Source organism: Homo sapiens, chromosome 1 (genome assembly GCF_000001405.40).
Source record: "Homo sapiens chromosome 1, GRCh38.p14 Primary Assembly".
NCBI classification, from domain to species: Eukaryota; Metazoa; Chordata; class Mammalia; order Primates; family Hominidae; genus Homo; species Homo sapiens.
The window spans coordinates 243,358,234-243,371,884 of record NC_000001.11 but is presented as its reverse complement, the minus strand read 5'-3'; the positions used below and the strand labels follow the sequence as shown (position 1 = coordinate 243,371,884).

Genomic DNA, 13,651 nt, shown 5'->3' with positions numbered 1-13,651 from the left:
TAAGTGCTTGGTATCCACATGGTGATTCCATGGCTACCATATTGGAAAGTGCAGGTATAAAATATTTTCATCATCACAGAAAATTTTTTGGCATAGCACTGGTCTAGAATATAGCAAAATTTATTTCTAAGACTCATTCTCCAAGCTAGACACTTGGGGAACCAGCCTATGTGAACAAAAGGATATTATAAGTAGAAACTCATTTTAGAAACAGCCAAAAATGATTATCCTCTTCACTGTAGCAGATGCAGAAGGTTGCTGATACCATTCTAGAAATCCTGTTCACGGTTACCATTGTTGATTGCACATAACGCTGACTTCATGCTTTCACTGTGGACTTAATAGTAACACTGATACCAGCTATCACTTTTGAGTGCTTACCATGTACCAAGCACTGTCTTAGCATTTTATATTTTAAAATTCCATTCTGTGTTCATGACAACCATATAAAAATAAGTATCCTATTCCTGTTTTACAGATGAGAAAACTGAAGCTCACAGATGTTAAGTAACTTACATAAGATTATACAGTGGCAGAGCTGAGATTCAAAACGGAGTTAGTCTGATTTCAAGTCCTATAATCTTTCTACTACACCATATTGTCTCCCTAAACAATCCTAGATACAAGAGAAAATAAAGAGGAAATGACACAGTCTGCCTTCTAAAACCTCTTGGCCTATAATGTGACATAGGTGGAAGACACAAATAGCACAGAGACAAAGGAGAAGATACAACCCAGATGACATGGGTCAAGTATCATGCTACCAAACACAAGGATCTCAATGTGCAAAGCCCTGGGCCTGGTTCACTCTGAAGAAGCATTTCTGCAGGAGACTTTAGGGCTAGTGACTTGAAGACGTCCTGAGGTTTGGATTTGCTTAGCCTCAAGTCCCACTGTCTACACCTTTTACAACATGATGAACTCCACGCCAGCCTAAGAATCAACGTGCAACTTAACCTTTCAGCCTTCCCAATAAAATATGCAACATTTTTGTGGAACTTTTCAGTTTTCCAATTGCTTCCAATGTGGCTATTTAATCAATCCTTACTCTAAGCAAATATTCTTTAAGGAATTTTAAGAAACTTTTTTTTTCTTTGCATAATGTTAACAGAAGTGGCATCAACTGATCACTTAAATTCAGAAGCACTTCCTCAGAGCTAACGTAGCTCTCAGCCAAAACAAGTGTTCAAAACAGATGAAATGGAACTATGGCAAGAAAGAAGTGCCTTTCTAAAAGTATGTGTCTAAAGAAGAGAAGAATTTCAGACATCTGATATAAAGCTGACTGTATTACATTGCGACAATACGGCAGACTTTTTGACTAAGCCAAGTTTACACCACTGTTCTGTCATGCCAGGAGATTCAGTGGCAAAAGAATCATTACAACTCTGCGGTCAGTTTACAAAAATGAGTTCAGGTGATATCTCTACTTTTTTGGGACAGGTTTAATAAAGACTTTATGTTTGCTAAAAATGGAAAAAAAATTGCTTTGCACTCTTATGAATGTAAGTTTCTAATCATCATAGACAAAATATCAGGCCATTCATTAAATCTGCAATTTTTTTTCTTTAAAATAATATAGGGCCTTTTCTGCCCCTAATCCTATCATGCTTTTTCAGTGTTCTAAATGAGTAAAATATTAACAATGTTCAAGGTATTGTATGCTGACATATTTGCATACATAGATAGAGATCTTGACTTTTTATGTCTGCTGATGCTAGGAGCAGACATAAAAGGTGTAAAGGAACATTAAGATAGCCCTGGATGAGGGAAAAATCTGAAATAAGATGTGATTGTTGGAAAGCTATAAAAGAGAGGTGAAACATTTTTCAAACGATGCATTGCAAAAGAGTTGTTAGGGTAATGTGAATATCGCCAAGAGTAACTGGGAGAGGTAGATTCAGATTACAGATTGAAATGGATAAAGACAACCCGAAATTGTGAGTAAAAAGAGATGAAGTGAAAAAAGACAATGTTGAAATAAATAGAAAAGTCTTAAAATAATGAAGGAGTCAAATATATAAATCTCCTAATTGTTGACCACACCAGTTATCATCTGTCAATGGTGTGGAGTTTTAAAATTGTCTGACAATAAGTTTTGCATTGGTTCAATACCAGAAAATGTATCAAGAGCTGAACTATAAAAGACAGCCATCAATCACAATGTTAAAAACCTACCACTTCAGAAGCACACCTGTCTCTTGCCCAGGTTGTATCCTTCATTTCTTACTTTTAAGGTCCCCTGTTTCTGCTCTTGAGTTTGATGTAAATGGCTCTCAAGAGATGCAATCTCTTATCACCCTGCTATGTGGTACATTTCATCCTTGTCTTCAAACATTACCATCATAAAATCAGATGGTTCATAGTTACTGCAATAGGAACATATAGTAGAGTTGCAACATGTAACAGAAAGAGATAAATGGAAGAAGTATGGGTGACTCCATCCACCATTCAACTCAATGAGTGAATGCCTTGGAGTGAGCATGAAGAGTGAGACATGACTCCACTGAGCCCTTGGTCGGTCACAGTACATGTGTACCTTTCATAGTATGACCATCTGACAACACTATGTGGTAATTTCATCTAAGAAACACGTATATTTTTCATACAAAGCACAAACATTGCCAAACACAAGTCAACTTGTTTATCGACTCCCCATTTGATTCAACAGCAATCTATCCCAACAATGAAAGTAAAGTGATAGGGGTTAAAATCTTTGAGATAGGGTATGAATGTCTCCAATGTGGCAGGAATATATGGCTCTAAATGCACATAAAATCAATACAGACAAATCCATGTAGACCATTAAATTATGAGGAATTTATGAGATTTTTTTAAAGTAATTTGGTCACATGCAATATTCAACCTTTTAGGCTGAACTTGGAACATAACCCCCTCCTGAAATGTCACTCCACTGGGATGAAATACACTGAGTTTATCTTAGTAGTAGGATTTATTTCACTGGCTTCACAAATAATTTTTATTCTAAGTTTATAAACATTCCAGAGGTTGAAGGGACCCGTTATACCTTACTACACTTACTAGGAGAAATTCATTGTTTTTGCCTTCACTTGTGAAGATTGTAGATTTGTCCCTACAAATATCAAGGGTCTGATATCACTGTACAGATTTTGAAAGTGGCTTCCTAATTCCGCTCTTCCCCCTCACTCAGCTGGGAGTTGACTGTTTTTAGTATCTGACTACTGGAGGACTACAATGTTTACTGTATCTGTAGGAAAGACATCCCAGGAATGGTGCTCAATGACTTACAAACCCACCTAAATGAACTATCATCCAAGAGAATGTTTCTATGTTTTGTTCAGAGCTGTATCACAAGAGCTATGTTAACGAAGGTAATAAACTCAAAACATTTTGGATATTTGGCAGTTCCTTGTTTTGCAAAGCTGGTAATTCTATGGCATCTATTCTACTGCACATACTATAAAATGCTATATTGGGACATTTAAATATGATGGTCTTATAATGTTTGTGGAGAGAACATAACTAAAAAGACTAATGTAGACCTATATTCCTTTGCTTGGTATACATATAAAAGGAATCCTTTAATATGCTATGACCACCCAAATGTTATGATTTCTAAAGAAAGAAAGGCTCAAAAAAGTAACAGTTTGGCCCTTCTTTTCTTTTCTCTTCTTCTTCTTTTTTTTTTTTTGAGACAGGGTCTCATTGTCTTAGTGTCACCCAGGCTGGTGAGATTACAGTTCACTTCAGCCTTAACCTCCCCGGCTCAAGAGATTCTCATGCCTCAGTCTCCCAAGTAGCTGGGACTACACGTCTGTGTCACCATGCCAGGCTAATTTCTGTATTTTTTTTGTAGAGACGGGGTTTTGTCATGTTGCCCAGGCTGGTCTTGAACTCCTGGGCTCAAGCGATCCTCCTGCCTTGACCTCCCAAAGTGTTGGGATTACAGGCATGAGCCACTGTGTCTAGCCAGGTTCTTATTTTCTAGAAGGAAATTATGTCAGCCATGTACTTGACATTCCAATTTAATGAAAGAAAAAATCATTTTCCACTTAAAATGTTAATATATAAGACTAATTTTATACACATGTATATTTACATATAATATTTAGATATATACATCTATTTTAAGATATACATATATATTATATTAATATTATACATGAATGCATATATTAAATATATGTAATATATTCAAGTTGACTTATAATGCTATTTAATAAAATAGCCCTTAGTACATTAGTAAACAAAAGTACCAGGAAGAAACTGGGACTCCTTCCTTTCTTCCCTGAGACCAAGCCATGATCCCTTCCTTGGCAGAAAAGCAGAAAGAGGGTGACTGGTGAAGATCACCCACTGTTTCTGAGGTGAAAGTCACCAGTGTAAAGGTACCTTTGACCTGTGTTTGCTAACAAATTGGCACAATTTTTTAAAATAGCAACTCTAAATTTACTTTATGTAAAAAAAAAACTACACCTAACCCTGACCTAATCCTTCTGAAAGCACTTCAAAAGGATTTTCTCATGCTACACTAGCTGTATTCAAATCAAAAATAAACCTGGAGTTGCTTCTTTCAAAATGAACTGCAAAAAACCAGGAAAACAATCTTTTCTGGTGGGACATCTCCATATAAAAAAAGTAGTCTTTCCAATGGCGAATAAAAATGAAAAATCTAAAAAGTATAAAAGCTGGTAGATAAAAGAATTACCAAAGAAAAATTATCTTTAAACAGTTACCCAAAATGCAGGAAAACATATCACAGCATAATAAAAGGAATATTCATTACAGTTATTGACTTTTATTACCATTTGACAATAGTTTTTTTTGCCAACTGAGAAAAATCATCCAAAAGCAAAAATAAAATATAATAAAATAATTCCAGTTTAGGAAAGCAAACTGTTAATTTATTCCCTTAAACTATTCCTTCCCAAGCTCTCAATTCAATACAATAAATATTTTTGAGCACATACTATGTGCCTGCTATGTGCAATGTGCCAGACATTATACATATATATATGATCCAGATGGCCAGATAATTTTATATACATGTATATATACCTACATATACATATGTGCACACACATATACACACTATATATGAATAATATCCAAGCTATTTCACTCTTCACTTTCTTTTGTAACTATTAAAATATTAATTGATTCCCTATCATTTTGATAAAAAACAAGTGCAAGTCCAATGACACATCTAAGGTACATCATTTCCTCCTCAAATTTACAATCATCTGGGCTACAGTAAATAACAGAAATTATTATGATACTCTTATTTAGTTTTCATAAAAATTTACAGCAGGAAATTATAAGTATTAATATTAGGGCTTCAGGACTCAGTAAGTGAAGTCTAAACATCATTTTCACATTATGTTGTTATATTTTGGGCTAATTATATTCACTTATGTCTAAACATTAAAGTTATTAATTACTCAATAGAGTAATTGCATTGAAATTATATTGAAATATAAGATTAAAAAAACTTGGTCACATTGCCCACTACTAATTACAGTGGTGTAGCTCCTGCACCATTCCCTATGTGTAGAAATATGGCTAAACACAAGTAAAAACCAAGACTAAATATAAAAACCACACTAAAGCAATTTTAATAAATAAGAGAATGACAGGCACTTTCAAATAAGATACAGATGCTTTCACTATCTATAAAAATAAAATAAATTTAAATGAACTGAAAATATTGCTATTCATAAAGTTATAACTGATTTTGCCTTAAGAAAACTTCATAAGTCAATTTAAATACAAGAAGTTTATTATTGACTTCAAGTTTAGAAAATATCTTTTTCATTATTAAATGTATTTACAATGCTCTCAGATTCTCATCATGAGGTTAAAAATACTTAAAAACCAACAAGGATGCCATTCATAATCCTAAATTAAATAAAGTTTTTGAAACAGTTTGTTCAAAATTGACACTATTACCTTAAATGAAGAGCAGCCTAAAGGTCATTTCAAAATGGAATTTCAACAATTTTCTATACTTCTACATATGCTTCAGATGGAATATTTTCCCAGATACTAAAATTACAGGAAAATCAACATACATGCAGGCATACTCTTCAAAGCCAAAAATTTTTCAGTGTAGATATAAAAGTATTGACAACTACAAAAGTCACAATTTCCAAAGAAAGCTGGATAATTAGTCTGCTACTATTGCCATAGTAAATATAGTTTTTTAGATATGGTATCTGCTACTAAAAATTATTGTGTAAAAGAAATTGGCCCATTTATTCTTAACCAGAACAAAAGGCAATTTTTGGCAAAATTATTTTGTCTCTTAGATGGTGTACACATTTTTATTACTTTTCTACTATCACAAATTAAAACTCTTATACCAAATGGTACTCTTACAGAAACTGTCTAGAAAATAATCAAATATTCTGATTGCTAAAGGGAATATAAAATGAAACTTTTGGCTTATTTTGTATCTAACTTCCAAGACTTCGATGTACAGTATTTACTTAGCAAATACAATTTCTGTTCTTTAAATACTGTGCTGCTTATATTTTTTTCTAAAGTGTACTCCTATCTAAATGGTCCCAAAAACATTTGGGAGTAAACTTCCCTGTGAAGATAAAATATTTTGTTTCATAAAAAACAAAATAGGCCTTTAGGAAAAAAACATGCAGTTAGGGACACAAGACACCTCAGTCATCATCTTAATCTATCGCCTCACTTTACAGGTGGGAACGTGGGATCCAGTGAAGTTAAACCACTCGCTAAGCCCACTCAACTGTACTAGAACTCAAGCTCCAGACTCTTCGCCGATACCCATTTCCCTTCAAATGTGGAATAATGCCAAGCCACAACGCTAACTCAGTTACAAGCATAAATAAGCTTCTATTGGTAATAATTAACTTTTCAATGCAATAAAGAAAACATATCGTCTGTTTCTCCTCAGACAACTGTTAATCAGCAAGAACTTTTTCGTTTTGCTCTTTTATTCTCTTATTAGTTCTGTCAATCTCTGACAACTAGAACAAATGTAAGACTTATTCTTTTTTTTTAAGCAGCATCTTAAAGCCATACATACTATTTCTTAATTTAGAGGAAAAAAAATGCATTTTCTTAGGTTTGGTTTTTGTCAATATTACTGTTTGGTATAGGTGCTAGGACAAAAGAAAATGTTTATTTTCTCTCAAACCAAGAAAACCTCAAATGTTTTTCCAGTTCAAACTAAATGATTTTGTTTTATAGGAAACTGTATTTTAATTTTTCGCTAAATGAACTTCAAACAACTGAGAAAAGGAAGTCATATTCTTGTAGTCTGGATCACTTAATAGTTCAGACCATGGAATACAGCTCCTCTTCTTGCCTATACAAACACACCGGCTCTGGCTGAGGTCACCTCTCTCTACCTACCTACCTACCCAGTTTCTGTTACTCCTTGGTGTACCTAATTACAGAGAACATCAGTATGAATGCTCTGGTTCCCAAATCCTAAGGAGAGTAGCAGAGGTAAAGCATTACTAAAAACATACCTAAAGCATTCTCACCTATAGGCTCTTACTAACATTTATGCTTGGATGCAAAATATTCTGACCACCCAAACAGCATGTCTGTGTTCAACTTACCTTTAAGCTGTTACTCTGCTTGTTGGTGACACAAAATAATTCCTCTTCCACTGGAAAACTGGACAATTTAACCTTATTTTGTTGGAAGGTTTTCACCAAAATTAATGACATGTTCTTATGTGAAGAGGAAACAGCAATTTTAACAACAAAACTAGGTTTATTTATAGAGACATAACTGATTGAAAAAAAAATCCTTCTGTACTGAGACATGGTGTACGTGATCTCACCTTATGGGGAGTTCTTAGAAAACTCACTTTAGCTGTGGGTTATGTAAATATTTCTGTAAAATTCTATTTGAGGAACTTAAGAATTTATTGAACTTGGTTTTAACTCAAAAATAACCTATATTTTCTAACTAATTTTAGCAAGCAGCACCAAAATGTGAAGTAGATTTTTAGCTAATATTTTGAGTGTGTTATTTTAAATTAACAGCTTCCACATACAAAGGAGTAAACTCATCTCTTCAATTTATTGACAATCCATTCTATTCCTATGTATGTATACAGCTTTTCATAGTTTAGAAAACACTTTCACATACATTACTGAATTTATATGCTGTGATAATTAGAAAACTAGCAAAATTCCTGCTTTCACCCATTTTCATAAAGAAAAATAAAATAGGCATAGAACAGAGAGATATAGGGTAAATGATTAGGACAAAAGACTTTAAAATGGAGAGTAAGTCAATAGAATGAATAGGAGAAATCTCAAAAAAATGATTTTAAGACTCAAATTTCCAATTTAGCCCATTTATCCAGGTTATCTAGATGAACAAAATGGAATTTCAGACAGCCCCATTTCAATTTTGACCTCTCATTGGGAGTTTCCCAACACGGGTTTATATCCTGCCAAACTACAAATCTGCTCCATATTTACAACGGCACTTTGATTTCTTAGCCATCCATGCCCGATTTCCTCATTGCCCACCATCAAGGCAAGCTTCTGTCACATGGTTCATCGGTATCTAGGCAAGCTACTTACACACAGTAGGCATAAAAATAATTTTTTTATTTGACTAGAATTATTTTGAAGAAGGCAATGGTCTGGTTCTTAAACAGAAAAATAAACATGATCTGGTTCTTAAACATCAATTAGAACAAATCACATGGAAGACAGAACAGCAAATATCAAATTACAAGGAAGCTGCAGGTCATAGGCTCTGTGATGCTCTCTGTGCTATACTATTTAGACCACTGACTTTAATGAGGATGCCACCGATGTGCTGATCAAATGTGTCTGTGACACAAACCTCAGAGGAAGAATTTATTATGGCAATATGTTGAAAAGAGGATCCAAGAGAGCTCGGACAAGCTGACACGACAGGCCCAAACGAAAATGACCAAGTTCCAGACAGGTAAATGCAAATGTCTATATTCACCACCCAGTTGTAGGTCAGCAGATGCGTGCCATGAGGGGTTTTAATTGAATTTTAAGCTCAATAAGAATTTACAATGAGACATATTTGATAAACAATAAGGCAAATGATAGTTGGCTCTGATGCTAGATTAACATAAGCTTAGGCAATAGCTCCACTGCTATGCACTGGGCAGTTCAAACTAGCAGTCTCATATTCAGTAATCATCACGACTCTGGAAAGCAATGTGATAAAATGGGACACAGATGGGAGAGAGATGAAGGTGGAAAAGCTAAGGATCACAGTATTAGTAAAACTAGTAATTATTAGTGTGTATTGAGCAATTATTACATGTCATGCATTGTACTATGAGGTTAACATAGATGACCTAAAATTTTACAAAATCCTATAAGGTAGGCATTGTATCTATCCTCATTTTACAAAGAGGAAAACTGAAGCTTGCACATTTTCAGTAACTTGTTCAGATTCATTGGGTAGTGGGTAGTAAAATGAGAAATTTACTTGAGGCAGTCACTTGGCCATCTCTTCACCTACCTATCCATCCAGTTACTGTGTTACTTGAGGCAGTCACTTGGCCATCTCTTGACCCACCTATCCATCCAGTTACTGTGTTACTTGAGGCAGTCACTTGGCCGTCTCTTCACCCACCTATCCATCCAGTTACTGTGTTACTTGAGGCAGTCAACTGGCCATCTCTTGACCCACCTATCCATCCAGTTACTGTGTTACTTGAGGCAGTCACTTGGCCATCTCTTGACCCACCTATCCATCCAGTTACTGTGTTACTTGAGGCAGTCACTTGGCCATCTCTTCACCCACCTATCCATCCAGTTACTGTGTTACTTGAGGCAGTCACTTGGCCATCTCTTCACCCACCTATCCATCCAGTTACTGTGTTACTTGAGGCAGTCACTTGGCCATCTCTTCACCCACCTATCCATCCAGTTACTGTGACCCTAATTGCAATCAGGGCACTGGGGCACTGAATACAAAAGAGAATAAGACAAGTAAAAGTCTCTGTCCTCAAACAACCTACATTTTAATGGAAGAAACTGATTGTTTAAAAGCAAATGAACAATAAAATAATAAAAAACTTATAATAAGCTCCATGAAGGAGGGGAATGAGGTGCTGTGAGAGAATAACAGAGTATACATTAGTAGCCAGTGAAGTAGAGACATTGAATTGGAAACCAAAAGAAAGAAAAAGAGCTGGTTAAGCAAAGGAAGAGTGGGAAAGAATATATGTGGAAGATGTTTGTCCAAAGGCCATGGCATGTCTGAGAAGCTAAAGGCAAACCACGGAGGCTCCACTGAATGGACAGGGGAAGGGTGGATGAGAAGAGGGTGGAAAGACAGGCAGTGGGGAGATTATGCAGGGCCTTATAAACTGTAGAAAGGAGTTTGGACTCATGTTTCTAAATGCAAATGGGAAGCCATTCCAAATTGCTAAATGGAAGAGCAATGCAATGCAATGCAATTCACGTTTTGCTTTCGCAAATGTGTTGAGTATGAATAAAGAGGGCATAACTTTATGAAGCTAAGGTTGTGATAAGGAAAGATGATAATAAACAAATGAGTAAGATATGGAGTAAAATAAAGCAGAAAGGGGGCAGGAGTACTCGGAAACTGGTTTACAACATAAAACAAGGTAGTCAGGAAAGTCTCACACAGATGATTTCAGCGATGACTTGAAGGGTTATTTTGTGATCCACAGGATATCCCAGAGAACCCGGCGAAGAAAAGAGCAAGTCCAAAGGCTCTGAAGTGGTCGTGGGGGCAGACTGGTTAGCACCTTGCTAACCAGTGACATAAACCTGAGAGGAATAATTTATTATGGCAATATGTTGAAAAGAGGATCCAAGAGAGCTCGGACAAGCTGACACAACAGGCCCAAACGAAAATGACCAAGTTCCAGACAGGTAAATGCAAATGTCTATATTCACTGCCCAGTTGTAGGTCAGCAGATGCGTGCCATGAGGGGGTCACTGTTTGACTTTGCCTTTGACTGCTACTGAGGTAGGAACCACTGGATGGTTTCAGAAGGGTGACAAGATCAGACATAGGTTGTTTTTTGTTTGTTTTTTTGTTTTGTTTTGTTTTGTTTTGAGATGGAGTCTCACTCTATTGCCCAGGCTGGAGTGCAGTGGCGCAATCCCGGCTCACCGCAACCTCCACCACCCGGGTTCAAACGATTCTCCTGCCTCAGCCTCCCGAGTAGCTGGGACTATAGGCACCTGCCACCGTGCCTGGCTAATTTTTATATTTTTAGTAGAGACAGGGTTTCACCATTTTAGCCAGGCTGGTCTTGAACTCCTGACCTCCTGATTCACCTGCCTCGGCCTCCCAAAGTGCTGGGATTACAGGAGTGAGCTACCTCACCTGGCTGATGAAAGTTTAACAGACTTTCTCTGGCCCTTATGCTGTGAAGGGGCTAGATGAGGAGAAGCAGGGAGCCCCAGTTAAGAGACTGTTGCTGGCCAGGCATGGGGGCTCACGCCTGTAATCCCAGCATTTTGGGAGGCCGAAGTGGGCAGATCACAAGCTCAAGAGATCGAGACTATCCTGGCTAACACGGTGAAACCCCATCTCTACTAAAAATACAAATAAAAAAAAATTAGCCAGGCATAGTGGCGGGTGCCTGTAGTCCCAGATACTAGGGAGGCTGAGGCAGGAGAATGGCGTGAACCCAGGAGGCAGAGTTTGCAGTGAGCTGAGATCGCGCCACTGCACTCCAGCCTAGGTGACAGAGCGAGACACCATCTCAAAAAAAAAAAAAAAAAAAGAGACTGTTGCAATAACACAGCTGAAGACGACAGTACCTTGAACTAGACGGTAGCAGTGGATATATGTGAAGAAGATATATGGACAGAAGAAAAGCATCTGAAAAAATGCTCAGTACCATTCATCACTAGGGAAATGAAAATTAAAACCACAATGAGATACCATTATATACTTACTAGAACAACTAAATATAAAAAAGACTGATCAAACATTTTCAACACATATAACTGCTAAAATATGAGTATCATTATAAAAGGAGTTATTCTCATCTTGATTCTAAAACTTTCCATCAGACATAGCACAACAAAGACTGACCTAGGAGTGAGAAGCTCAGTCATCTCATTTAGATACTATCACTAAGTATTCAAGGTTTGTTCTTAGCTCACTATGCATTCACTCAATCAACAGATAAATATCTGCCGTAGGTCTCCTCTGTGCCGAGTACCGGACACACAATGAAGGGTAAGTTAAGACCCTGACTTTAAGGACCTTACAGCCACTTCTGGCATGTCATTTCAGTTTTGTGGGGCTCTGTCTTTCCTTCCTCATCTGTTGCACCCGCTTGTGCCCTCCAGGTACACACAGAACAGTGCCTTTGTGACTCTGTCCTGTTTTCCTGAATGGCCTTCACTTCCCACTCTTGTTCCCTCCAGACTGGGCTAAAATATGACTTGGATGATATATTTTTTTTCTAAAATAACAACTTTATTAAGATCATCCACACACCATAGAATTCACCCACCGAAAGTATACAATTGAATAGTTTTTAGTACATTCACGGAGTTTAGTACATTCACTGTGAGGCCGCCATGACTATAGTGCAAATGGCATCTGTGGAATTGTGCAGTGCACAGCCTGTAGAACAGTATGGAGCAAGCCTGTTCATCTGTATTAGCAATGAAATCAATTTTAGAGAATGTGGCTCAAATCTATGGGTAAGTAGGCTTCCAATGATTGAACTTCAGAATTGGACTGACGTGCTAACACTCTAGTCACCAAGAGGAAGGAGGAAGGTGCTGGCTAACACTCCTCCTCCTTAGTTACTCTAGGGAATAAATCTCTACCTGGACATGAAGTTCAGGACTGAGGAAATAAAATAGTTGTGCAACTATTACCACAACCGATTTTAGAACATTTTATCACCCCAAAAGAAACTCCATGCCCATCAGGAGTCCCTCCCATTTGTCCCCAATTTCAGACCTGGACAATCACTAATCTTTCTGTCTCTATAGATTTGCCCATTCTAAACATTTCATATAAATTGAATCATACAATATGTTGTCTTTTGTGACTGGCTTCTTTCATCTAACATGATGTTTTCAATTGTAAGTCTACCATGCTGTAGAATGTATCATTACTTCATTCTTTTTTACTGCCATGTAATATGTATCTATATACACACACCCCACATTTTATTTATCCATTCATCAGTTGATAGACATTTGGGGTATTGGCAGTTTGGGGCTACTATGAATAATGCTATGAACATCCGTGTAGAAGTTTTTGAGTAGCATGTTTTGATTTCTCTTGAGTATAGACCCAGGACTGGAATTGCTGGGTCATATGATATCTCTATGTTGAACATTTTGAGAAACTGCCCGAATATTTTTCAGCCTGTATGACTTTAAATTCTACCAGCAACTTATGGGGGAGTTCCAGTTTCTCTACATCCTCACCGACACTTGTTATTATCTGTCTTTTTTATTACACTTATCCAAAGTAGATGTGAAATGGTTTCTCATCTTGGTTTTGGTTTGCATTTTCCTGATAGCTAATGATGTTGAGCATCTTTTCACATGTTTATTAATCATTTGTTAATAATATAGTTATTATTAACATATCTTCTTTAAAAAAAGTCTATTCGGATCTTTTGCCCATTTAAAAATTGAGGAGTCTTTTTATTATTAAATTG

The 13,651-nt window shown here is 36.5% G+C and overlaps 1 protein-coding gene and 1 long non-coding RNA gene across 8 annotated transcripts in view; both read right to left on the bottom strand.

Annotated features, from left to right (window-relative positions):
- Nucleotides 1-13,651, bottom strand: part of SDCCAG8 (SHH signaling and ciliogenesis regulator SDCCAG8) — a 244,051-nt gene that overhangs the window by 128,207 nt on the left and 102,193 nt on the right. The gene's annotated exons all lie outside the window — the stretch shown is intronic.
- On the bottom strand, nt 7,721-11,093 carry LOC124904569 (uncharacterized). Of its 2 annotated transcripts, none has more exons than XR_007066973.1 (2): nt 9,550-11,093; nt 7,721-9,492 (listed from the first exon to the last, which is right to left on the bottom strand). It is a non-coding gene; the product is annotated as an uncharacterized LOC124904569 (long non-coding RNA). The 2 variants fall into 2 exon arrangements; XR_007066974.1 differs by having other exon boundaries at nt 9,607-11,093.